General features: G+C 47.3%; 1 long non-coding RNA gene across 1 annotated transcript, besides 2 other annotated features; it reads right to left on the reverse strand.

Annotated features, from left to right (window-relative positions):
- Window positions 1-2753: 2753 nt before the first annotated feature.
- Window positions 2754-12027, reverse strand: LOC105371268 (uncharacterized). The gene is made up of 2 exons (XR_001752188.2): window positions 11907-12027; window positions 2754-3193 (listed from the first exon to the last, which is right to left on the reverse strand). It is a non-coding gene; the product is annotated as an uncharacterized LOC105371268 (long non-coding RNA).
- Window positions 2992-3131: an enhancer, noted in NCBI's record as "active region_10844". NCBI's record gives its function as "activates an Ori minimal core promoter by ATAC-STARR-seq in GM12878 lymphoblastoid cells {active_cell/tissue: GM12878}" and the evidence as "EXISTENCE:reporter gene assay evidence [ECO:0000049][PMID:35858748]".
- Window positions 11661-11770: an enhancer, noted in NCBI's record as "active region_10845". NCBI's record gives its function as "activates an Ori minimal core promoter by ATAC-STARR-seq in GM12878 lymphoblastoid cells {active_cell/tissue: GM12878}" and the evidence as "EXISTENCE:reporter gene assay evidence [ECO:0000049][PMID:35858748]".

Genomic DNA, 27610 nt, shown 5'->3' on the forward strand with positions numbered 1-27610 from the left:
TTAGAAATGCTGCTATAGACGGATGATGTGGCTTTCTTCCTTTCCATAGCCTCATCGAGCGATACGGTTCTTGCTTATAACATCACACATGTGCTTCCAGGTTTTGGTTGCATCATGTTTTCCTCCCTATCCCATTACCCATAACTCCTATCCCTGAGCAAGTGGGTGGGCGGGTGGAGGAATGAATTTTACAGACAGACTACAACATTTCAAAATGAAATCAGGGTAGCTGATGGACCACTGCGGATATTTATGTCTTAAGGAAAAGCAACCAATATATGATACGGCTGCTCATTCAGGGCTGAAGAGAACTGATTTCCTTTTATAATCAAACAGCATTTTGAACGTGGTCTGACACCGCAAATAATCCCCACTCCCTCAGCACGCTGATGACTGTACCCACAGCCATAAGAGCAGTGTTCTCTTTGATTCAGTTTATCTTTGGGAAACCACTTCACTCTGTGGTCTCAAAGCATTTGGAATGATGATAAAGGCTTGAGTTAGTTTTATCTAGAGTGGCACACTCAGAAAACCAAAGAGAGAGAAAGCAATACTCTTTCAGGGAAGGGTACTATTCCAGGCACAGACACCTTTTCTTTCTTGCAATAGGTAAATGGTGATTCCGTGAACGATAGGGAAGCTCAGTGATCTCGAGAGTCACCCACCCAAAGCAAATGACACCGTGACCATCATTTATTCTAATATTTTACTATAAAAATGTTCAGTCATACCGAAGAGTAGAGGACAACAAACTCCCTTACACTCACCATCTAGATTCAACAATGTTAATGTTTTGCCGTATTTCATCTATTAGTTTTCCTCCTGAGTCATTTAAAAATAAGTTGCCGTCATCATGTCCTTCCCTCCTTAGTGCTTCCCAGGGTGTTTCTCTTCAGAGCAAGGACATTCCCTTACAGAACTACACTGCCACAGCCACCCCTAAGAAAATTAACTCCACATTCCTAGACTTTGTATGCTTTTTTTTTGTTTTTTGAGACACAATCTTGCTCTGTTGCCCTTGCTGGAGTGCAGTGTCTCACTGCAACCTCAGCATACTGGGCTCAAGCAATCCTCCCACCTTAGCCTCCCGAGTAACTGGGACTACAGGTGCATACCACCACACCGAGCTGACTTTTGTATTTTTTTGTAGACACAGGGATGCGCCCTGTTGGCCAGGCTGGTCTCAAAATATGCCGACTTCGGCCTCCCAAAGTGCTGGGATTACAGGCCTGAGCCACCGCACCTAGCCTTCAGACCTATTAAAATTGCCCTAATTGTCACACACCAAGAAAACACTTTTATGGTTAAGGACGGAATGTTTATCTCTTCAAAATTTATATGTTGAAAACGTAATAACTAATGTAATGGTATTTGGAGGTGAAGCCTTTTGGAGATGACTGGGTTATGAGTTAGTCATACATGGGATTTGTGCCCTTATAAAAGGGACCCCAGAGAGCGATCTTCCTTCTTCCACCACATGAGGACGCAGTGAGAAGATGCTATCCCTGAAGAAGCAAGAACTCACCAGACTCCTAAACTGCCAGCACCTTGCTCTCAGACTTCCCAGCCCCCAGGACTATGAGAAATAAATTTCTGCTGTTTATAAGCTGCCCAGTTTATGGTATTTTGTTATAGCAGTCCAAACAGACTAAGACAGTTATTTTTCTAAACCAGGATTCAATCAAGATTCAGTCATTGCATTTGGTTATATCCCTTTAATCTCTATTCTAGAACAGCCCTCCCACTTTTTCCTCCCAATAATATTGACAATTTGAACCGGTCAACAGATCAGAGTATTCCGCATTTTGGATTTGGCTGTTTTCTTGTGATGTTTAACTTGATCCTCTATCCTTGTATTTCCTATAAACTGTCAGGTGTGAAGGCTTGATTGGATTCGTCATTTTTGGCAGGAGTGCTTCATGGGTGAGAAGCTTATTGTGGCTCCTCGAGCTGTCTACAGGGTCTCCCTTTGTCCTCCAGGATAGAGTGCAGTGTTGCGGTCATAGCTCACTGCAATGTCAAACTCCTGGGCTCAAGCAATCCTCCTGCCACAGCCTTCTGAGTAGCTGGGACCACAGGTGTGTACCACTACCTCACCCAGCTAATTTTTTTCTTTTTTTTTTTTTTTTTGTAGAGATGGGGGCTTTACCATGTTGCCCAGGTTGGTTTCAAACTCCAGGCCTCAAGCCATCTTCCTGTATTGGCCTCCCAAAGTGCTGGGGTTACAGATGTGAGCCATCGCGCCTGGCTGGAGCCACTGATTTAGTAAGAATTGCATCCTAATGGTTTTGCATGAACCAACGATTAAAAACAGAAATGTAGTCTGCTAAGAAAAGTTATCTGAATATCTGGAACTGTACAATAATGAGCAAATAATGAGGCTTCCAGGAGAGTATTAGGGTCATTCCTACTTCCCACTTATAAGACTGACTTCCTGTCAATAACTTTGTTATTATGAATGTCGAGTCCATAACAGACTTATTCTCGTGGCCCTTGCTGCCTACTTCATGCTAGCCAAGTCGAATCCAGTTTTAAAATACGCCGGATGCAGTGCAGGAGACACTAAGTGGCGAACTGCGGTTGCCGTGCTGCTGAAATTTAGTGAGGGAAGCCCCGGCCCGGGTGGGTGGTTACGCATTCCGCACCCGGTATTGCCGCATCCGACCTCTGGCCAAGTCAGGCCTCAGGTCCCTGATAACTGGTGTGCCCTAAACTCGCTCTGCAGAACGTCCTTTTTTTTTTTTTTCCTCTAATGTGACAAGGTACAAAACATTCCCTAATGTGCCCGAGAAGAGGAAATAAAGACTGCTGGAAAGAATGCTAAAGCCAGGCACACAGCTTTTTCCTCTGGGAATGTGAATAACACAGCAAACGTGACCGCAGAGAGGCAGTGGCTGTACATCCTACTGGGCTCGCATGAGTGTCATTTGTATTTTTCTCAGTCACAGGCGGCGGCTTCTCTTGACACCATTTAGATGGCCCTTTCAGAAGACACTTAGCGGGTCAACTTTCCCTTGTTCTAACTCAGCTCCAGCCTGGGAAGATGCTGGGTGCGGTTGAGGAATCCACGGGTTAGGGAACTCCGCCTGGCGGGTGCTTGAGTGCCCTCTGGTGGGCAATAGGAAGAATGCAAGTAGCAAAGCCGAAATTATCTTCTCAAGTTGCTCATACAGATTTTAAACAAACTCCTTCCCTTAAAAGAAAAAGAAATCCTAAGTCTACATTGGCATTCCTAAAAATCATTCCTAAAAGTTTTATATTTTCCTTAACCAAAGGGTTGAATAGTCTCAAGCAGGGTAGCATCTCCACCAAAGGTTTGAGTACATGGAGATGAGGGGTGGATTCAAGGAAAACATTTTTACTGAGCCTTCCACCTAAGACGCCTTAAAGATCCTGTAAGAAGCCATTCCGCAGGGTTGCCACACCTGAGGAAATTCAGACCTTTAGCCCCCAGAATCTCCCCATCTACAACTACATCTCTCCCTCCACATCAAAAGCAAACCTTGGAATCTTCATTCCCTAAATATAAATGACTGAGTTTAATCCTTCCGCATACGTTAGGACTTAAAGCCCTGCATTAAAGAGATCAATCAATAATGGTGGAGTTTCCAGTACTGGCCCAGGGCATAATGACAAATTCTCTCCTCCATCACAGATGGTCCGAGGAAATGAGGGGATGGTGAAGGGACTGGGGAGAGGCTAGGGGCTGTGAGAAGCGGGGATCACTACACCCCTCCCCGAGGCTCCACGCTTACACTATGTAGGAGCATGGTAACATGGCCTAGGTTGAAGGCCAGCCCCAAATTTGCCCACGCAATTAAGGATGAGGTATGTAAATGGGGACACAGCATCTCTGAGCAAGGTGTGTTTAGGTGGAAATCAGGGGTGGAGGTGTCACTGGGGAGGTGCAACATTCCTAGTGACACAAGTCACTGAGGAACCAGGCCATCACCCAAGGGTCATGTGACCCAGCTTCTCAGGACAAATATTTATTTAGTCACTGACCAAATAGAGCCACTGGGCTGTCAGTATTAGTGGAGTCAGGCAGGAAAACAGATGAAGCCAGGTGGTGAGCCCTCTGGGGCCAAAGAGAGTGTGGGAGAGCTCCCTCAGCCCCCAACCACCACCTGTCCATATCCTCATGATGGGCCCCGGTGCTTCCTGGGGTGCCTCTACCTTAAGTCACATGGCATGGGGCATGGTAGGTGACCCCGTTTAGCCTCTGCTTATCTTCCCTTCTGTAACAGCCACAGCCACCCGTGTCGGAGGCAGCCCTTCTAGAAATGTGAGCTGATTAGAGAGTGTGCCGCTATTGCTTCCTGACCAGAAATATCGCTCTCCAGCAAAGGGCAAGGTCACACATGGACAGAGGGCAGCAGGGGGAGCAAAGGTTACACCACAAAACAGGCAACCCCCAAATCGTTCCCACACCTCCACTGCTACTACCCTGGTTTGAGCAACCGTGCCCTATGCCCCTTGGCCTGGGTGAGGGTGCCAGACTCCTTGCTGGGCTCTGCCTCCCCTCCATCCTTCTCATCTGCCCTCAGCGTGGCCAGCAGTGTGACCACGCTGAACCTGGGTCAGGTCAGGTCACTTTCTGCTTAGACCCCTCTGGAGGTTCCCCATCTCACATGGACAAAAAGCCTATGGGGGGCCAGGCACAGTGGCTCACGCCTGTAATCTCAGCACTTTGGGAGGCCAAGATGGGAGGATCACTTGAGGCCAGGAGTTCGAGACCAGCCTGGGCAACATAGTGATACTCTACAAAAGAATAAAAAATTAGCCAGGACTGGTGGCACATGCCTGTAGTCCCAGTTGAGGTGGGAGGATCACCTGAGCCCACGGAGGTTGAGGCTGCAGTGAGCTCTGGTTGTGCCACTTGCACTCCAGCCTGAGTGACAGAACAAGACCCTGTCTCAAAAACAAAAAACAAAAAACAAAAAACCCAACAAAACAAACACAAACGCCCCCCAAAACAAAATATAAAAACCTATATTAGGTCCATTTTCACACTGCTGTTGAAGACATAACCAAAACTGGGAACAAAAAGAGGTTTAATTGGACTTACTGTTCCATACGGCTGGGAAGGCCTCAGAATCATAGTGGGAGGTGAAAGGCACTTCTTACATGGTGGTGGCAAGAGAAAAATGAGGAGGAAGCAAAAGCAGGAACCCTGATAAACCCATCGGATCTCATGAAACTTATTCACTACCACAAGAACAGCATGGGAAAGACCGGTCCCCATGATTCAGTTACCTCCCCCTGGGTCTCTCCCACAACTTGTAGGAATTCTGGGAGATACAATTCAAGTTGAGATTTTGGTGGGGACACAGCCAAACTATATGATTCTGCCCCCTCCAAATTTCATGTCCTCACATTTCAAAGCCAATCCTGCCTTCCCAATAGTTCCCCAAAGTCTTAGCTCATTTCAGCATTAACCCAAAAGTCCACAGTCCAAAGTCTCATCTGAGACAAGGCAAGTCCCTCTCGCCTATGAGCCTGTAAATCAAAAGCAAGCTAGTTACTTCCTAGATACAATGGGGGTACAGGTATTGGATAAGTACAGCTGTTCTAAATGGGAGAAATTGGCCAACACAAAGCAGTTTACAGGGACCATGCAAGTCCTAAATCCAGCAGGGCAATCAAATTTTAAAGCTCCAAAATGATCTCCAATGACTCCAGGTCTCACATCCAGGTCGCACTTTGCAAGAGGTGGGTTCCCATGGCCTTGGGCAGCTCTGTTCCTGTGGCTTTGCAGGGTACAGTCACCCTCCTGGGTGCTTTCACGGGCTGGCATTGAGTGTCTGTGGCTTTTCTAGGCACACGGTGCAAGCTGTTGATGGATCTATCATTCTGGGGTCTGGAGGATGGTGGCCCTCTTCTCACAGTTCTACTAGGCAGTGCCCCAGCAGGGACTCTGTGTGGGGGCTCTCACCCCACATTTCCCTTCCACACTACCCTAGCAGAGGTTCTCCATTCAGGGCCCCACCCCTGTAGCAAACTTTTACCTGGGCATCCAGGAGTTTCCATACATCTGAAATCTAAGTGGAGGTTCCCAAACCTCAATTCCTGACTTCTTTGCACTCGCAGGCTCAACACCACGTTGAAGCTGCCAAGGCTTGGGGTTTCCACCCTCTGAAGCCACAGCCTGAGCTATACATTGGCCCCTTTCAGCCATGGCTGGAACAGCTGAGACACAGGGCACAAAGTCCCTAGGCTCCACACAGCATGCGGACCCTGGGCCCAGCTCACAAAACCACTTTTTACTCCTGGGCCTCCAGGCCTGTGATGGGAAGGGATGCCTGGAAGTTCTCTGACATGGTCTGGAGACATTTTCACCGTGGACTTGGAGATTAACATTAGGCGTCTTGCTACTTATGCAAATTTCTGCAGCTGGCTTGAATTTATCCACAGAAAATGGGTTTTTCTTTTCTATTGCATAGTAAGGCTACAAATTTTCCAAACTTTTGTGCTCTACTACCCTTTTAAAATGGAATGCTTTTAACAGTACACAAGTCATCTCTTGAATGCTTTTCTGCTTAGAAATTTCTTCCACCAGATACCCTAAATCATCTCTCTCAAGTTGAGAGTTCCACAAATCTCTAGGGTGGGGGCAAAATGCCACAAGTCTCTTTGCTAAAACACAACAAAAGTCACCTTTACTCTAGTTACCAAGTTCCTCATCTCCATCTGAGACCACCTCACCCTGGACCTTATTGTTCGTATCACTATCAGCATTTTTGTCAAAGCCATTCAACAAGTCTCTAGGAGATTCTAAACTTTCCCACATTTTCCTGTCTTCTTCTGAGCCCTGCAAACCGTCCCAACCTTTGCCTGTTACCCAGTTCCAAAGTTGCTTCCACATTTTCAGGTATCTTTTCAGCAACACCCCACTCTACTGGTACCAATTTACTGTATTAGTCTGTTTTCACACTGCTGTTAAAGACATACCTGAAACTGGGAACAAAAAGAGGTTTAGTTGGCCTTACAGTTCCACATGGCTGGGAGGACCTCAGAATCATGGTGGGAGGTGAAAGGCACTTCAAAAGGCACTTCTTACATGGTGGCGGCAAGAGAAAAATGAGGAGGAAGCAAAAGTAGAAACCCCTGATAAACACATCAGATCTTGTGAGACTTATTCACTATCACAAGAACAGCACGGTAAAAACCATCTCCATGGCCAGGTGCAGTGGCTTATGCCTGTAATCCCAGCACTTTGGGAGGCCAAGGTGGGTGGATCATGAGGTCAGGAGATCGAGACCATCCTGGCTAACATGGTGAAACCCCATCTCTACTAAAAATACAAAAAAAAATTAGCTGGGCATGGTGGCGGATACCTGTAGTCTCAGCTACTCGGGAGGCTGAGACAGGAGAATGGCATGAACCCAGGAGGCAGAGCTTGCAGTGAGCAGAGATCACGCCACTGCACTTCAGTCTGGGCGACAGAGTGAGACTCCATTTCAAAAAACAAACAAACAAAAAAACTGTCTCCATGATTCAATTACCTCCCCCTGGGTCCCTCCCACAACCTGTGGGAATTCTGGAAGGTACAAGTTGAGATTTTGGTGGGGACACAGCCAAGCCATATCAAAACCCAAGAGGAAATTTAGACACACACAGAGGCACAAGGGACCTGCACTCAAAGAACGATGACCACAGGAAGAGACAGCAAGGGAATGGCCATCTGCAAGCCAGGGACACAGGCCTTAGGGGAGGAAACCAACCCTGCCAGCACCTTGATCTTGGACTTTCAGCCTCCAGAACTGTGAGAAAATAAGTTTCTGTTGCATGAGCCACCCCGTGGGTGGTACTTTGTTACCATGGCCCTAACAGACCAATAGGGCCCTGTAAGTATTTGTTGACTGGAAAGCTGGAAATGACTGCCTCCTCTGCAGCTGCGGATGAGCCTCATTGTTTTTCTTCTTCCTGTATTAAGATGAGCGTCCACTGTGCAGTCCTCACTCCTGAGGAATCTGCTGACCACAGGAAGAGCCAAACTGTGATTAGGAGGTTTCCCCACAGTCTGTATCAAAGTGTAGACGGGTCACGTCAGAGGCTGTCAGGGCATGACTGTACCAAGGTTTTTTTTTTGAGACAGAGTCTGGCTCTGTCGCCCAGGCTGGAGTGCAACGGCATGACCTTGGGTCACTGCAACCTCTGCCTCCTGGGTTCAAGTGATTCTCCTGCCTCAGCCTCCCAAGTAGCTGGGATTACAGGTGTGCGCCAAGATGCCTGGCTAATTTTTGCATTTTTAGTAGAGATGGGGTTTCACCACATTGGCCAGGATGGTCTCAAACCCCTGACTTCAAATAATCCACCTGCCTCAGCTTCCCAAAGTGCTGGGATTACAGGCATGAACCACCATACCCAGCAAGAGGTATCTCTTTGATTGTGAAAGACACTCTCCCCCATGATCCTCTTGGCATGGCCCACAGGCACCCATGACCTGTCTCATTTATTCAGGAAAAGGACCACATTTTGTTATTTAGCACTTTGCAAACCCATGGGCAAAGTGCCAGGGTAAGTATTTAAAACACAGCTTATAACAATGAGAAAACAGCCCACTTAGGAATAAGAGGGTCTGTCCACCAGCTGTGGCCTTCTGTGCATTGATGGCCATTTCTGTGCAGTTCTGCGACCTGTACCTGATAGGAGAGGGGCATCTCAGAGCCCGTATTGCAGGGAGTTAATGGGAATATTGTGGCGCATTGGCAAAGCCTTTTTGGGACCTGGGGAGGCCTCCGACTGCCATGCATGCCTCTGCTTGCATGGGTCATAGCTCTTAGTTCTGCTCATACACGGGGCATCTGACTGCACGCTGTGAAAAAGGAGCTGAAGAGAGATGGGTTTCAGCACAAAAACAGTCTGCAGAACAATAAACCCCTGGTGACACTGGGTTTAGTTTGACAGCCCTGGGGACAATGTGAAGAGTCTTTGATTACAGCAAATACCTCTGCTTGTCTCTTCTCTTCTGCAAACTATCCACCCAGGAAGCACATCCAATAGTGGAGGAAAAGGCAGAGACATGTCAAAAGAGCAGCCTCATCTGAAATAAGATCATGAGGACAGGCATAGTGGCTCATGCCTGTAATCCCAGCACTTTGGGAGGCTGAGGCGGGAGGACTGCTTGAGCCCAGGAGTTTGAGACCAGCATGGGCAACATAGCGAGACCCTGTCTCTTAAAAAAAAAAAAAAAAAAGTCTAAGAATTAGCTGGGTGTGTTTCTGTAGGCCCAGTCACCCAGGAGGCTGAAGTGGGAGGATCGCTTGAGCCCAGGAGGTCAAGGCTTCAGTGAGACACGATCATGCTACCACATTCCAGCCTGAGTAAAAGAGAGAAACCCTGTCTCTAAAAAAAATAAAAATGAAATAAGATCATGAAACAAAACACACATATTTTGGCTCCAGAGAACCACGAGCTGAAGGATCATGAGCCAGTTCTGCATAATTCAGGCTGGGCCAACAAGTCATTAACTTTGCAGCTGGGACTTAGAGAAGAGTGAGGACTCTAGGAATAGGTGTCTACCTCTGAGATGCAGACCTAGGTTAACCTTGCACTGCTGCCCCACCATACATGTTTTCTTGGTGCCTGATATGGTTCCCAGCATACCTACACCTCTAGGAGCCCAGAAGAGCTGGAATCATGCTTCAGATTCTTTGATGGCCACACCCTTCATGAAAGCACAGGCAGCCACCTGCATCATTCATGTATTATTATTCTCTTTTCTTTTTTTTTTTGAGACAGGATCTCACTCTGTCATCTAGGTTACAGTGCAGTGGCATGATCATGGCTCACTGCAGCCTCGAACTCCTGGGCTAAGCAATCCTCCCATCTCAGCCTCCTGAGTAGCCAGTACTACAGGTGTACACCACCATACCTGGCTAATTTTTATAAATTTATTTACAGAGATGGAGGTCTATGTTGCCCAGGCTGGTCTTGAACTCCTGGCCTCAAGTGATCTTCCTGCCTTGGCCTCTCCAAAGTGCTGAGATTACAGGCATGAGCCACTGCCCTGCCTGGCCAATTTATATTATTTTTCAAGACATTTGAAGACTCCTTCAGGGTCTGTCTACCAAACACATTGCTCCAGCAACAATAGGAAGACACCTTCCAGCATGGCCACTTGCTGGGGTGCCCCAGAGAAAGGCCTTTGATGCCTTAAAATCTTTCTGCTCTTGGGATAGAGAAAACTAACCCCAGGCTGCAGGGAAGGGAGGTGTAGTCAAGAATGCAGTCACAGTCCTTGTCCCACCATCATTGCCGCTATTAGCCAGGACCTGTCCAATTGCTGGTGGAAGAGCCTTCTCTTCCAAAACTGAATTGTGGAGACTGAGCTCCCTCATCCCTCCCCAGCTCTAAACTCTGATTCTGAAGATCTCAAGTTAGAAAGGACTTTAAAGACAAAGTGGTACAAATCTCCAATTCTGCAGAAGAAATGGAGGCCCAGGAAGATGAGAAGTTTTGAGAGTCTCATGGATAATTAGCTGCACTTGGGAGAGTGTGGCACCTGAGCGTGCAGCGCGTGCACTTGTGCGTGTGTGGGGAGGAGAGAGAGGGGTGCAGAGAGAATGCCTTTCTTTTTGCAGATCCCTGTAGAGATTTTCTTGACTTTACAGGTGGAGCTGAAGATAAATGGATTAGCTAGGTGAATAAACCTGTATTAAAAACTTTCTGAAAAATCAATTTGAGAGAGAAGATTTGGGAAAATAAAATATGATCAGCTGTGTTGGATAACTTGACTAAATCGATGCCTGCTAGCCTGGTAAACAATTTCTGATCTACAGCTCCCACTGTCTCCTTGCTGGCGATAGTTACCTCAGTAATTGTACCGTGGGATGAGGCCAGGCCAGAATGAAAGCCATTAAAAATGATGTTTCTTCAAGTGAAAATTAATTTATTTGCTGACCAACAAAGACCAAAGTAATTTCAGAATTTTAAGGATGGTGAGACTTTTTACCCCCTCTTTAAATTAGACATGGAAATGAAAAACAAATAGACCTCTCTGTCCCCACGCGTGCCATGCCAAGCACAGAGGCAATCGACTAATAATAAGAATGCAGTTTCCCGAGCGTCTGACAATTTCAGGAGCAAAAGTGAAGAGAGGTAGGGCAGGATCCTAGGTCGCGCTACAAAAACCAATATCTCCATGTATTGCAGGAGGGAAATCAAAACAATGTGGACAGTCAGGAGGGGTTTTCTTCCCTGCTCTGGATTTTCTCCACATAATAGCAGGAGAAGTTAAAGAGAAGTCACTTTCGGCACTGGAATCCATCAGCCTCGAGAAAAGATCAAGTCCATTGTTGAGATCAGATTAAGACCTAAGGCTGTGGTTTGTACCCTAGCAGGAAAGGCAGGCAGGATGTGGGAAGGGAACGGAAGGAAGTGATGCGGTTAGCCCTGTGATGACGGTGGGGTAAGCACCTTTGATTTGAAGGGCTCAAGAAAGTCCACACAGCAGCCAGATGGTCTTAACAGGAATCAAAGCACACGACTCTCTGGCTTAACCCAGGGGTATGAGGAGCCACTCATCAGCTTGTAATGTTTTGTTTTATAAAATGCCCTTTAAGTGTAAAAAGCAGCATACTTTCAATAAAACCAGTCCAAAGGAAGGAGCCATCATTTTCACCCACGGCTGTCTGTGCACGTCTCCTTTTAACTCTGAGCTCAGTGAACACTTGGGGAATTTGAAATTGTCCTCATGGGAACATCTACACCATAGAAGTCAGCAAACACTCTCGGTCAGACTCCACGTCCCCACTCCACAGCCAGTTGAGCACGTACCAGCACTCCATCGCTTAAACCCTTCCCCGAGCTTCAAACTGCAACGAAAGACAATCTGATTCTTCACTGTGGCCTTTGGGGTCACTTCTCCATGCTCAGTTGTTATGTCTCCCCCTTTCACCTACCGTGAACCAACTCACAAGCCTTACTTCTGCTCCTTGGACGCCCTCTTGGACAGCCTGTCCGCTCTGCCTGGATGTTCCTTCCCCAGATCTTGCCTGTCTTCTTCTCTTTCACGCCTCAGCTAAAGCGTCACCTCCCCAAGAAGCCTTCTCTGACTCCGTCTTTTTTTTTTTTTTTGTCACTGTTACATCATCCTATTTTCCTCACAGCACTTATCTCTCCTTCTTTTATACATATGTATATATTTATGTATAATATATATGTAAATATATATATATATATTTTTTTTAAGATATGGGGTCTTGCTGTGTTGCCCAGGCTGGAGTGCAGTGGTGCAATCAAGGCTCACTGCAGACTTGAACTCCTGGGCTCAAAGGATACTCCCACTTCAGCTGCCTGAGTAGCTGGGACTACAGGCATGCGCCACCACACCTGGCTACTGTTTCATTTTTTTTTGTAGAGACAGGGTCTTGCTACATTGCCCAGGCTGGTCCGGAACTCCTAGCCTGAAGCCATCCTCCACCTCAACCTCCCAGAACACTGGAATTCCAGGCATGAGCCACTGTGCCTGGCCTTTATCCCTCCTTAAAATCCTCATTTGTTTGCTTGATTGTTGTATGTTATGCTACAACATAAAACTTCCTTGAGTGTGGGGCCTTCAATTTCTCATTTCCTCCAAGCCCAGCTCAGTCCCTGGTACACACTAAACTCTCCGTCAATAGTTGCTGAATTGAATGAATAAATGGTGCAGATCCTCAAATATGATCATGGGCGAGTCAGCCTTCTGAGGTAAGCAGCGTGCCTCCATTTCTAAGTCAGTAATTTCAGAGAATATCCCACTTTTAGTGACTAAAACCCTCAAGGGAATACGTTTCTCTACTTAGCTCCTCCTGGGTGAAAGGGGCCAGAACAGCCCTGTAGAGGCTGAGCAATGAAAAGGGGCATTGCGTGCAAACCCAGTCCAGTAACTTCTCTGCTGAGTGACACTTCCAGGTGCCCTGTCAAAAACTACAGGTAGGCCGGGCACAGTGGCTCATGCGTGTAATCCCAACACTTCAGAAGGCCAAGGCAGGTGGATCACCTGAGGTCAGGAGTTCGAGACCAGCCTGGCCAACATGGCAAAATCCTGTCTCTACTAAAAATACAAAAATTAGCCAGGCATGGTGGTGCATGCCTGTAATCCCAGCTACTCAGAAGGCTGAGGCAGGAGAATTGCTTGAACCCGTGAGGCAGAGGTTACAGGAGGCGGAGGTTGCAGTGAGCCGAGATTATGCCACTGCACTCCAGCCTGGGTGATAAGAGATTCTGTCTCAAAACAAAACAAAACAAACTACAGGCAACCCCACCAATGGCAAGAGAAGTGCAGACTGAAATTCCATTCTTTAAAACTCTCAGATGAAAGAGAAAGAATTTGGTAACAGACTATGCTGGAAAATGTGTCGAAACATGAACTCTTGTACGTGGCTTGTGGGAGCTTAAACTGTACCACCTTTGGGGATCTCTATTAAAAATGCAAATACACATCCCCCTTGACCTAACAATTCTGCTTCTAGGAATTTATCCAACTGATTTATATTCACACAGGTGCAAAATTACAGGCGAGCAAGGTTATTATTGCAACAAAAGATGGGAAGCGACGTAAAAGTCCCTTGGTAAGGGGCTGGTTAAGCAAATTACGGCACATGCACAAAAGAGAAAAAAGAGAATGAGTAAGTTCTTTATTTGTATATTAGTACATGATCTTCAAGGAATGGTCTTTGAGATGTGTTAAATGAACAGCGGGTATATGCTATCATTGTGAAATGAAGGGCAAAGGGAGGAATGTGTGCTCACACCCCCTGCCACCCCCATGCTTGTACAGGCATGCCACAGAGATATGGAGGGATTTAGATCCAAACCACTGAGATAAAGCAACTCACATGCATTTTTTTTTGACTTCCCGGTGCATATAAAAGTTACATTTACAGGCCGGGCACTGTGGCTCACGCCTGTAATCCCAGCACTTTGGGAGGCCGAGGCAGGTGGATGACAAGGTCAGGAGTTCGAGACCATCATGGCCAACATGATGAAACCCTGTCTGTACTAAAAATACAAAAATTAGCTGGGCATGGTGGCAGGCGCCTGTAATCCCAGCTACTTGGGGAGGCTGAGGCAGAAGAATCGCTTGAACCCGGGAGGCGGAGGTTGCAGTGAGCCGAGATCTTACCACCGCACTCCAGCCTCGGCAACAGAGGGAGACTCCATCCCTCCACCGCCAAAAAAAAAAGTTACATTTACACTATACAACTGATTTATATTGTCTTTTTTTTTTTTTTTTTTTTTTTTTTTTAAAGACAGGGTCTCTATCTCCCAGGCCAGAGTGCAGTGGCACAATCAGCTCACTGCAACCTCCACCTCCCAGACTCAAGCGATCCTACTTCAGCCTCCCTAGTAGCTGGGACCACAGGCACACGCCACCACACCCAGCTAATTTCTGTATTTTTTTGCAGAAACGGGGCTGGTCTTGAACTCCTGGACTCAAGCAATCCTCTCGCCTCAGCCTCCCAAAGCCCTAGGGTTACAGGTATGAGCCACTGTGTCCAGCCTTATACTGTAACCTTTTAAGTGGAATAGCACTATCTAAAAAAATGTACATAGCATACGCCAAGAACACTTCTGGAAGACTAAGAAATTGGGGACCTGGTTGGCTCTGGGTAAGGGGTCGGGGGCTGAGGAGCAAGGGTGAGGGAAAGACTGCTGTGCTCTTTGAACGTGAACCATATGGTGAGTGTATCTCCTATCCAAAACTTACATTAAAACATTTTAAGCTAGGCCAGGCATGGTGGCTCATGCTTGTAATCCCAGCACTTTGGGAGGCTGAGACGGGGGGATCACTTGAGGCCAGCCATTCAAGACCAGCCTGGCCAACATGGTGAAACCCCATCTCTACTAAAAATACAAAAATTACCCGGGCATGGTGGTGGGCACCTGTAATCCCAGCTACTCAGGAGGCTGAGGCAGGAGAATCACTTGAACCCAGGAAGCAGAGGTTGCAGTTAGCCAAGATCGTGCCGCTGCATTCCAGCCTAGGCAACAGAGAAAGACTGTCTCAAAAATATATATATATATTTTTTAAAGCTATAAATTTGGCCCCAATTTAGGGTGCCAAAATCCCTTGGGAGACAGGAAATTCTTTATTTTGGTTTAGTTATATAAATAAGTCAGCAATTTTTTTTTTTTTTTTTTTTTTTTGAGACAGGGTCTCACTCTGTCACCCAGGCTGGAGTGCAGTGGCGTGATCTCTCAGCTCACTGCAACCTCTGCCTCCCGGGTTCAAGCGATCCTTCCACCTCAGCCTCCCGAGTAGCTGGAATTATGGGTGCAAGCCACCATGCCTGGCAAATTTTTCTATTTCTTATAGAGACAGGGTTTTGTCATGTTGCCCAGGCTGGTCTCGAACTTCTGGGCTCAAGCAATCCTCCCGCCTCGGCCTCCCAAAGTGTTGGGATCACAGGCATGAGCCACCGCGCCCAGCCCCTGGCAAAACTTTTTTACCCACTTTCTTCCCTATGGAAGATAAACTCGAGAGGAACAACTTCTAACTGACCTGCTGCTCTCCTCACTGACCTGCTGCTGGTGTCTCCAACTGTCGCTGCCTTCTTAATGCTGGCAAGCTCAGGGCTCAGCCTGAGACCTCACCTATGGTCACCTGCTTGGTGACACACCCTGGGCTCCAGCCTCTCTCCTGATCTTCTGACTCCTGAACTCCAGGCTCCTGTAACCAGCTGCTCCTTCCTCATCTTCACTCGAATTTGATCATCTCAAAGCCAACACATCTCCGTGCCACAGCGTACCTCATCCCTGAGGGCCTCCCGTTTTGTAAATGGCAATGCTACGCTTCCAGCTGTTCGGGTCCATAACCCTACGGTCATCCTCTCATCTCATGCCCCACGCGTCACTCGTCAGCAGATGCAGGAGCCCCATTTTCGTCTGTATCCAGAATCCAGTCATTTCTTGCTGCCTTGCCTGCGGCCATCCCTCCTCCCCACTCCCTTCCCTCACCTGGGTGACTGTTAGAGCCTGTGGATTGACTTCTCCACATTCTTCCCACAAGCCCGGCCACCGTGATCCGGTTAAAGCCTAACTCAGGCCACTCTTCTGTTAAGCTCCCAGAGCTTTCCCATCTCAGAGTAAAGTCCAGAGTGCTTGTGCCATACCATCAGGCCCTGTCCGAGTTTCCTCCTCCCTTGCCCTAGTCTCCTGCCACTCTCCTCCCGGGCTCCTGCAGTGGCGGCCACAGTCCCAGTACCCTCTGGCTCTGCCTCCGGTGCACCGAGCACAGGGCATTTGCACTTGCCGTTTCCCTCTGCCTGAAATTCTTCCAGACAACTACATCACTTGCCTCCCCACTTCCTTCAGGCCTTTACTCAAACAGCACCTTCTCTGAGAGGTGTTCCTCGCCCCTCTATCTACAGCGGCAAGCCTCCCGCCCTCGGCCTCCTTCTCTCTGCCTACCTCATGCCAACACTCCCTCTCCCGCTGGTTCCCTAGCCCTTCTTGCCATGCAGCAAACAGTGTGCTTTACTTATTGTGTATATTATCTGGAAAGGGCACTCCACGAGGGCAGGAATGCTCACAGCTGTCCTAGCATCTGGAGCAATGCACCTAGCGGGTGCTGAATGAATATCTGTGGAATGAGTGAGTCCTCTGCTCGGCTCCTGGTCGGTGGCTGCTGGCCTGCCTGTGTCCGTGCTCCACAGTGGACCGGCCCCTCCTCGGGGGCTTCTCTGACAGGCGCACACTGCAGGCCTGGGAATCACACCTGGCATGGGCTACCGCCCTGACTGCACTCCCCAGGCAGAGTCCTAATGTCTGCTCTGCCTTTGGAGCTGCTCTGAAGTTACCCTGGAGCACGGACCAGATGTCCAGATACCCACGGAGGCCAGACAGGGCACAGAAATGAGGGACTCGGGCCAGGCCAGGGAAGGTACAGGCCCAGCCCGAGGGACGGCCACTGCTCAGCTCTGGTCAGTGGGTACCAGGCATGGATGTGTTTTACAGTCATTAAAAGTCTTTGGTTTTTCCAGGGAAAGTGGAAATCTGGATTTTTTAAAAAATGGCATGGCTGGGCGCCATGGCTCATGCCTGTAATCCCAATGCTTCCGGAGGCTAAGACGAGAGAACTGCTTGAGCCAGGAGTCTGAGGCTAGCCTGGGCGGTATACTGAGACCCTGTCTCTACATATCATTTTTTAAAAGTTAGTTGCATGTGGCGGCGCATGCCAGTGGTACCAGCTACTCAGGAGGCTGAGGTGGGAGGAATACTTGAGCCCAGGCAGTTGAGACTGCAGTGAGCTGTGATTGTGCCACTGCACTCTAGCCTGGGTGACAGAGCTAGACTCCATCTTATAAATAAATAGATAAATAAGCCAGGCATGGTGGCTGACACCTATAATCCCAGCACTTTGGGAGGCTGAGGCAGGCAGATCACTTGAGGTCAGGAGTTTGAGACCAGCCTAGCCAACGCAGCAAAACCCCATCTCTACTGAAAATGCAAAAATTAGCTGGGTGTGGTGGTACATGCCTGTAATCCCAGCTACTAAAGAGACTAAAGCATGAGAATCACTTGAACCCGGGAGGCGGAGGTTGCAGTGAACTGAGATCGTGCCACTGCATTTCAGCCTGGCGGACACAGTGAAATGGTGTCTCAATAAATAAATAGACAATTAAATGGCTCTTAACTTTTAAAAGCAGAAGACTTAAACATTCTCAACATGAATATATATACCTACTATATATCCACAAAATTTCTGTTAAATGAAGTTAGAAAAATTTTCAACACTGAGAGTTTAATAAACGATGTACATCTTCAAGGTCTTTAGTCTGTGGCATCTGTATAGACCTTGACCAGAAAGCTGAAACCTTCCGACTGGGTGAAGGGGAGATGTCCTGTGATAGACTTTATCTGCAGTGTAACTTGGTAGCAAAAATTCTATTTTATTATATTCCATAGTTTTCTTTTTTTTTTCTCTGAGATGTAGTCTCGCTCTGTTGCCCAGGCTAGAGTGCAGTGGCATGGTTTCAGTTCACTGCAACCTCCACTTCCTGGGTTCTAGCCATTCTTCTCCTGCCTCAGCCTCCCGAGTAGTTGGGACTACAGGCACCCACTGCCACGCCCGGCTAATTTTTGTATTTTTAGTAGAGATGGGGTTTCACCATGTTGGTCAGGCTGGTCTCAAACTCCTGACCTTAGGTGATCCACCCGCCTTGGCCTCCTAAAGTGCTGGGATTGCAAGTGTGAGCCACTGCACCCAGCCTCTCCCATAGTTTTCTAAGGAGGGTGGGTCCCGGGAGAATCTTGTTCATGGAGCTCAGGACCACCTTCTTTGTTGCATGGCCTTCAATGGCCTTTTCTCTGCTTGAAGAAAATGTGAATGAGTCCATGTAGGGAGGCAGGCTTGGAAGACCCAGACTGAGTTTTAGTGCTTTTGTGGAAAGGAACAAAACTTAGGGAGAAGGTTGGGAGGCAGGTGGATGATGGGTTGGGGATGCAGGAGGGAAGAGAGACTGAGAATGAGAGAGGTGAAATGGAGTTTTTTATTTACCAAGAACTGCAGGGTGTTCAGCGTCAACCCCTCCCTTGCTCTTCATACAAAATCTTCAGTAAAATATATGCAGTTGACTCAATGTTTGTCCCAGTGGAATTCACCTTGCGGGGAACTCGAGTGAGGAGGGAAGGCAACCACTGACATGAGCCATTGTGGCAAAAATTAGTTTTAAATACTGATCAGAAGTTAGTAGCACTGACCCAGCAATTCCACTCCTGGACATATATCCAGAATTGACAACAAGTGTTCAAACAAAAACGTGTACCGAATGTTCACAGTAGCCCTATTCACAAGAGCCAAAGGTGGAAAGCACCTAAATGCCCATGAACAAATCAATGGCTAAACAAAGTGATAGACAGTCGTGCCTTGGTATAAGTGAGGGGTTGGGTCCAGGACCCCTAAGTTTACCAAAATCTGTGCATACTCAAGTTCTGCAGTTGGCCCTGAGGAACTTCATAAGAAAAGTTAGCCCTCCATATATATAGGTTTCACATCCCACAAATACTGTATTTTTGATCTGCATTTGGTTAAAAAATATCTGTGTATAAGTGGACCCTCACAGTTCAAACCCACGTTGTTCAAGGGCCAACTGTATTTCTACAATAGAATATTATTTGGCCATAGAAAGGAATGAGATTCTGATACAGGCTACACGTGGATGAACCCTGAAAATATCATGCTAAGCACAAGAAGTCACAAAAGACCACCTATCATGATTCTGTTTCTCTGAAATGTCCAGAGTGGGCAAGTCTATAGAAACAGAAAGTCAATTCATGGTTGCTTATGGTTGGGTGGCGGCCTATAGGGGTAGTAGCTAGCTACAGGTAAGTGATTTCTTTTTGAGGTCATGAAAATGTTCTAAAATTGACTGTGGTGATGGTTGCACTACTCTGTGAATATACAAAAGTCCATGCATTATACACTAAATAGGAAAATTGGCCGGGCACCGTGGCTCATGCCTATAATCCCAGGACTTTGGGAGGCTGAGGAGGGTGGGTCACTTGAAGCCAAGAGTTGGAGACCAGTCTGGGCAACATGGCAAAACCCCATTTCTACTAAAAATACAAAAATTAGCCAGGGGTGGTGGCACACGCCTGTAATCCCAGCTACTGGGGAGGCTGAGGCAGGAGAAGTGCTTGAACCCAGGAGGTGGAGGTTGCAGTGAGCTGAGATTGCACCACTGCACTCCAGCCTGGGTGACAGAGCGAGACCCCATCTCAAAAAAAAAAAAAAATTGTGTGGTATGTGAATTATATCTCAATAAAGCTGTTTAAAAATGTCAAAGTTGGTGACACACCCATGGGTAATTCACAAAACACCACGTGCCATGGCATGCCCACTGGAAACCACAGCCTGAGACACGCTCAGGTGCAGGGAGGGCCTGGACTAGAAGCTTTCAGAAAGGACTCTCTCCCTGACCAGGATTCAGCTCCAACTCTGGGATCCCGTGGATGGAACAACAGCCTCTTCAGCTGTGCCAAAGCAAGGAAGGGACAAGAGGAGAGAAGTCCCCAACACCCTCTCCCAGCCAAACAGCCAAGAAGGCCTCATCTCAGCCTTCCACAGCCGCTGCGTGCATGCTGTATTTTATAAACTCACGTCAGCACCCAAGACAACATGTGCGTGCTTAGAATTAAGTCCTTTTTAATACTAGAGATGGGGGGAACAGAAATCAGCCAAGAGGAGGAAGAGGAGGGACTTGAGTGTTCCCTGTGTGGGAGTGTTCCCGGTGGCTCAAGCCTGTAATCCCAGCACTTTGGGAGGCCAAGGTGGGTGTATCATCTGAGGTCAGGAGCTTGAGACCAGCCTGGCCAACATGGTGAAACCTTGTCTCTACTAAAAATACAAAAATTAGCCAGGCGTGGTAGTGTGCACCTTTAATCTCAGCTACTCAGGAGGCTGAGGCAGGAGAATAGCTTGAACCCAGGAGGTGGAGGCTGTAGTGAGCTGAGATCATGCCACTGCAACTCCTGCCTGGTGACAGAGTGAGACTCTGTCTCAAAAAACCATCACCACCACCAAACAAACCTGAGGACCTGTGGCAGCATAACCGCTGCAGCCGTGGGTCTGGCCAGAAACAGCCCAGCTTGGTAGAGACCAATGTAGGTGAGGGCACAGGACTCAGGGATCCTCTGTGTCAATTTTTGAGCACTGACACCTTTGAACAAAGTGCATAGGAAGCATTTTGGAGTCCCAGGGCTTGGCTGCAAATGTTAAAGTGCTACTGAGAGGGGCGATGACATGCGTTCTCTTGGGGATGGTCTGTCACTGGCTTCCTTGAATACTGGACCTTCTTGGAAGGCAAAGCAAGCCTAGGTCCTCAGTGACAACCTGGTGACAAGACTGCTGGTGACAGGCAGTGGCCCGAGCTGCTGTGGCCGCTGCCTCTTTCTCCACATTGCCGTGCTCTCGGGGCCTGCTCCTGGCCACACCCCTTCCTTGTGTCCCCTTATGGGCTCAACCAGCTGCTTCCAGAGCCTTCATCGCCTCAGCCTCCTTAAATCTCAGCATCTTCATTTTTCATCAGCAGGACAAGAATGACACTTATCTGAGACAGTTGTCTTTATGGATGTTTAATGAGGGGATTCACAGGAAGCACCAACCACAGGGGCCTAGTAAGAGGCTGCGATAGGTGGAAAGTTTGTTCCCACCTGAATGTTACGCCGGACGGGAGTATGGTACCCCGATGTGACCAGGCTCTAGCTGAGCTGGCGAGACAAGGTCTTGGGTGCCGCTCCCTCCTTCTGAATATCTGGCTGTGCTCCAGGAAGAGCCCTCCCTCTATGAATACCAAAGCATAACTCTTAACCACTTTAAGGTGGACTGTGGCTTCTCTCCAGCCATGCCCTGGCATTGCCTTGCCTCCTGGAGGGTTACACAGCAGCCCCGGGGCCCCAGATCAAGTCACCCTACAGCTTTCAGCTGGCTGGCCCCTCCTGTCCCTGCAGGCTGGCATCCTGTCTGCAAGCTTGCCTTAGCACACCATGGGGGTGGGCGACATGGGTCTCACCCTCCTGGAAGGCAATTGACTTTTCCCAAGAAGCAGGCCACGCTCAAGTGCAGGTGCTGAGTGGGCTCTGAGCACAGCCCTGGGCTCCGCAGCCACCTGCACGCCCCTCTCTCTCTGAATGCCAACCCAGGTGTCCGGCCACCATCAAGGTGACTGTGAAGTACTAAGGCTGTGCGCTTTCCATTCCACAAAAATCACTGGGAGCCTCTTTGATTTCCAGGGAAATTGGGGCTCCTTGCTATACTTCCTGTCAGGCTGGCCCTTTGAACAAGCTCACTCCATAATTTCGAGTTTGAATCTCGTTTTAAATGGCAGTTAAAAATTGTATGTGGCAGTTCACAATGAAATTTAGCTTGACAGCTTGGACATAAAACTAAAAATAAATGACTTCACATCCAAATAATAAGTAATAACAATGTTAGCCTGCATAAGAATAGCAGGGCTAGATTCAAATACAATATTAATTTTAGGAATATGAGTGACTCGGGAGAGACAGAGGCAAAGAAACAAATCCTTCATATAGCAATCGGCTCCTCTTATCCCCCAGGCAACTGGCTGCCTTTCACCTCCGCGGCACAGCAATTATGTGGTGTAATGGAGGCAGCGCAAATAAGCAGAAAGATTTTATTAAACCAAATGAGCAAATCATCTGCGTATTATTGCGATTTGATTGACACTGACAAGTGTCGAGCAGACGCGGATGTGAATATGATACAGAAGCTTGCAGCAAAGCTCTTGATAATGTTACTCTTGATAAAGTTGCCTGGCCACCCTCTCTAAGTAAATAAAGGGGAGAGGAATATGACGCATATTAATTCACCCAGTTTGCAGCCTACTGGAGGACGAGAGGGGAAAAAAAAGTTGCAATGGGTTCAGCGCGTGGCATTTTATATGAATACCAAAATTGCATTCATGATTCACATAGACTTTACGATAATATATTAATATTAAAACTAAAGGTCATTCCACGTAACAGTTAAGCTGCCTGAGCTTCAACCTTTATACCAATAACAGATTCTAGAAAGTAAGGAAGAAATATTTGAATACTCTAAAAAAAAATTCTTTTTTTTTTAATTTGGAAGGATTGCTGGCTAACGCTAGCACAGGTGGCCCCTCACCCACCTGCCTTCTCCGGGGACAATTAAAGGGCTACCTCTAGGATGGCTGCATCTGAGACAGCTGGTGCTGCTGAGTGAGGAAAGGTGATTAATTGCCACAGGCCTTCAGGCCCTCATTCAGGGCTACATCTCACTAATGATTCCCTTATGAGCTGCGGGAGCGCCTGCCGTCGTCAGAGCTCCACGGAGTCAGCACAAAACTTTACTCAGCTGCTCAGGGAGCTCCGAGCAAATGGCCCAGGACGAGGAAGGCTCTGTCTAGTACGATTTAGGGGGAGATCTGCCTAGAGGCAGGGGGCTGGCCACAATGACCTCTGGAGCTCCCTTCAGGGGGTGGTTTGCTCCGATTCTGTCAGTCAGGCTGGCTCACGCAAAAGATTGTCCTGGGTGGGTAGACAGACCCTGAGAATTTTCCTGGAAGAGGGGCTTGAAGAAGAAAATGGAGACAAGGGCAGTCTACTTGTCCACAATGAGGTTCTGTTCACGCAAAGCAGAGAGCCATTTCCATAGAGTAAGTGAAACCAGTGTGAGAGAAAGCAGTATTTATGCTGGAAAGTTGATCTGGCCCTCAGACTCATGGGCACATTCAGAAGTCTTGCCTACTGAGACTGGGTGGCCAGGGAGCCTAGTGGCTAGAGTCAGCTTGTCCAGGCTCAGAGCCCACTGTGCCTCATTTAAGATAACTCTGCAACCAGTGGCCTCTACAGTAGCTTGAAATTGGTGGGAGTAGTTACACCATGGAAATTGGCCATGGTGGGTGGAGTTACACCACGGAAATTGGCCATAGCAGGAGTATTTACACCATGGAAATTGGCAAGCACTATAAATCAGGACTCCTCAAGCTGATTTAACAGCTTGTTTTTAAACATTTTAACAGCACTCCACTGGCTGACTCAGGGCATAGATACATGGCTATTTTACCTAGAACTGAGTCTTTATGAATGCCAATTTGGTACAAAACAAGAGGGAAGAAAAAGGCTGAACTCACTCCAGCCTATACAATAATACTAACAGCTTCTCTAGGTGATTTTCTACCTCTTTTGGGAAAATAATTCGGGTACTCTGGCTTCTAAGCTCCTCTCTGAGGCAGCGCTGGAGTAAATGAGGTGGGACGTGGGGGTGCTGCTGTAGGTGCCTGGCTCTTGTGGAAGGTGTCCTTGTCTGCTGGTTACTACTGACCTCGCTGGCATCTTAAACAGGTGAACTCATGCTCTGGTCTCCCTCGGCCTGGTCACTCTCTGGGCCTGGCTCAGCCTTGCCCTCCCCCAGCCTTCTGGCCTCATTAGGCCTCCCTCATCTGCTGTGGAGTCTCCTGGCCTGTTCTGAGAGGGAAGTGCCTGGGTTGTGTCCACACCTCGAGGGAGGGGAAGGCAGCTCAGAAAGCCCATGCAGCTCCTCTGCCGGACCACGACTACCCACCCTACTTTGCTCATCCAGTTGGATGGAGAGCGAGCAGGGGATCTATTTCCAGGTTCTTAAGGGGAATTGGGGCAGAGATAACCTCTTCCTTTAGCCTCCTCTTATTCCTTTATCTTACACCTTTCCCAGCCAAGATGTGAAGGAGAGAGGTCAGGACACACATCCAGCTTCACCTCTCGCCCATCTGTCTCTCTCACCTTCCTCCTCCTGCATCTGCCAATGTTTTTCAATGTTTTCATGCTACCAGTCATGACCCATTCCTGGGGGAGTGACTGAAGTCAGGGGGTTATGACCAGCATTAATACAAATTTAAAAAGAATTTTAAAAATGAGAAAATATCACACATAACAAGGCTAAGAATTGTTTTCTAAAATTTGTTTTGTGTACGTGTCTGTGTGCACACACAAATGTCTTGCTGTGGGTCATGGAAAAAATATGTGACAGCCACTCTTCTGCATGATATTCTATCACAGAGCAACAGGCTGAATATCCCAAGGGACACAGGGCTGTCTTCTCCACACGAGAGATCTCCAAGCACTGAGGCTCCCTAGCCTAGCTCTTGACATGCTGAGTACATTTTTCTTTAAAAAAAAAAAAAAAAAAGGAGGAAATCTTCAAGACAAGTCTGGTTTGCCATGCAAAATCCAGTTATGAATGTCAAAACCTGAGCATAATTCTTTCTCTTGCATTTCCACTGTAAACAAGCGTGACCTCTCCCACTCCCCGAAGATGACCAATGCCTCTGGCCAGCTGGGGAGAGGCTCATTTTCAGAAAGGCCAAAGAAAAAAGGCATATATTTGTTCAAACAATGTGTCTTCTTCCATGCTAATGGTGTAAGAGGCTGTTGGGCTGACCCCCCATCTATGGGGCCCTCCTTGCTTCGCCAGCGGTGCATGGGTAGTGATGGACACTGAGCTACATTTTCTCAAGAGGTACTCAGAGCTATACTGATCTGCATCTGAGAAGCCTCCACTGTCCATCCTGTTGCCAATGCCATGAGCCACACTTGGCTTTAATGAGCAAATCTATGTGCGATTGTGCAAAAGCCAAGTTAAGTGGCTCAGAGGTTCCTTCCACCAGGACTAAGCCAGGTTGTTCTTGTAATCACTTTTTGCCACCTCCCCTTCCCTCTAGACTGTTTTAGGAGGGTAGAGAATATGTCTGCTTAACTCATCCTCACCCTCAGTCCTAGCAGAGCATCCAAGGCATTTGGTAGGCGTTCAATGAAGTTGTGTAGAATAAATGAATGTGGGCCAGACGCAGTGGCTCAAGCCTGTAATCCCAGCACTTTGGGAAGCTGAGGCGGGCAGATCACCTGAGGTCAGGAGCTCGAGACCTGGCTGGCCAACATGGCAAAACCCCATGTCTACTAAAAATACAAAAATTATTGGCAGGTGCCTGTAATCCCAGCTACTCGGGGGGCTGAGGCAGGAGAATCGCTTGAACCCAGGAGATGGGGGTTGCAATGAGCAGAGATCATGACACTGCACTCCAGCCTGGGCGACAAGAGCGAGACTCCATCTCAAAAAATAAATAAATAAATAAAAAAGAATAATGTGAATGTGAACTTATGTGGGAGAAGTGGCAAATCTCCTATATTCCTTTAAAGTATTTCTCTAATGCTGGGGTGTCCAATCTTTTGGCTTCCCTGGACCACATTGGAAGAATTGTCTTGGCTCACACATAAAAAATACACTAACACTACCAATAGCTGATGAGCTTTAAAAAAATTCCCCAAAAATCTCATAATGTTTTAAGAAAGTTTACAAATTTGGGTTGGGCCTCATTCAAAGCCGTCCTAGGTCACGTGCAGCCCATGGGTCAAAGGTTGGACAAGCTTGCTCTAATGGGTTCCAGGGAATATTATTAAGTTCGGTGTCTCAACCATGTCACAACAATAAGGCCAAAACACTTCTTGTGTTTTCTTTTACAAATTTGCAAACAGGCAGAAACCTGAGAGACAGATTAGGTGATTTCTGGTGTGCCAATCTTTTCATAAAACGTTATCACACTTTTGTTTGTTGTTTCAGAAGAGTATTTTAAGATCCCATCATTTAAAGTAAGTGTATAGCTCACTGTGCACCACAGCAAAGCATTGCATATCCTTTGTGTCTTTAAATACTACCATTACTGCTAGTAAAAGTGAGATACACACCCATCAATATATTTTATGCCCTTCTGTTCAAGAATACATACAACGATAACATCATTCCCTATTTAACTCTGAATACTGGTCTGAGGGGAAAGTAAACAAGGCTATATATTTTTTGGAGTAATAGGTCTCTAAATTCTACAAAATTTCAAGGGATAAAATCAGTCAGATATATCTTAAATGCTAACTGCCATTTCCCTGTGCTCTTAACAGGATTGAAAACCTCAGCGGTAGGATATTCAGTGTCTATAAGATATATGTGTTCTAATCCTTGCTTTATGGCCTACAATAACCAAAACTTTATTTTAAATGAACAATTTTCCCAAAGTACCATTTTCAACACTATTTTCCTATTGCCTACGCACAGTGCAGACTTTGTAACCTGGCGCTGAAGACACATATAAGCTGAATCTTTGTTACTTCCCCAATCTTATTGACTCATTTGTATTAAGTTCCAGAATACATGTTAGGACTTTGGCAAGACAGACAAGACCTGTACAAGAAGGAAAAAAAAAAATTCCAGATCATGGTAGGTGCTGTGAAGGAAATATACAGGGTAAAAACAGACAGACAGCCCTTTGGATGCGAGAGGGTGGCTTTGGATAGAGATGTCAGGAAGGCCCCGGGGAGGAGCTATGGGATCTGAGGGTGAGCTGTGGGAAGGGCCAAGGTAGTCCCAAGGCCTTGGAAAGGGGAGTACTTGGCCTATTCAGAGTGAGTGAGTGGAGGGGGAGGGGTGGCCTGAGAAGAGGTATGTGTGGTTGGATCACAGAGGCCTCCAGAATCACAGTGAGAAATGTCAGTTTTGTGTTAGAGAAATTTGAAGTTAAACATTGCATAGTGGCTTTATTCATCATTGCCAAAAGACAGGGAAAAGCTCAAATGTTCCTCACCTGGTGGACGGGTAGGCAAACTCTGCACACCCATTTAAAGGCATACTACTCAGTAATGAAAAGGAACAATGGGTACACGCAACAACATGGGTGAATTTCAGACGCGTTATGCCAAGGGACAAAAGCCAGACTTTGGGGGAGTCATCCATTGCTGCCAACAAAACTATTCCTAAACTTGGCAGGAGCAGTGAAGTACAATCCTACTGTGTATCTGGAAGGAAAACTTGAAAGACAGCACAACAGCCTGTTGTAGAAGTTGTAACTGCCTACTCGGGAGGCTGAGGCAGGAGAATCGCTTGAACCCGGGAGGTGGAGGTTGTAGTGAGCTGAGATCGCACCACTGCACTCCAGCCTGGGCAACAGAGGGAGTTTCCGTCTCAAAAAAAAAAAAAAAAAAATTTACAACTGTGTCTCTGTCTTACTTCTAGGGAAAGTCCTGTGGTTCTTCACAAATGCACCTCATCCTTGGCACTTTGTGAGGTGGAAGAGACAGAGCATGCCACTCACAGTACTTGTTATTCACATTA

The sequence above is a fragment of the Homo sapiens genome, chromosome 16 (genome assembly GCF_000001405.40).
Source record: "Homo sapiens chromosome 16, GRCh38.p14 Primary Assembly".
Lineage (NCBI taxonomy): Eukaryota > Metazoa > Chordata > Mammalia > Primates > Hominidae > Homo > Homo sapiens.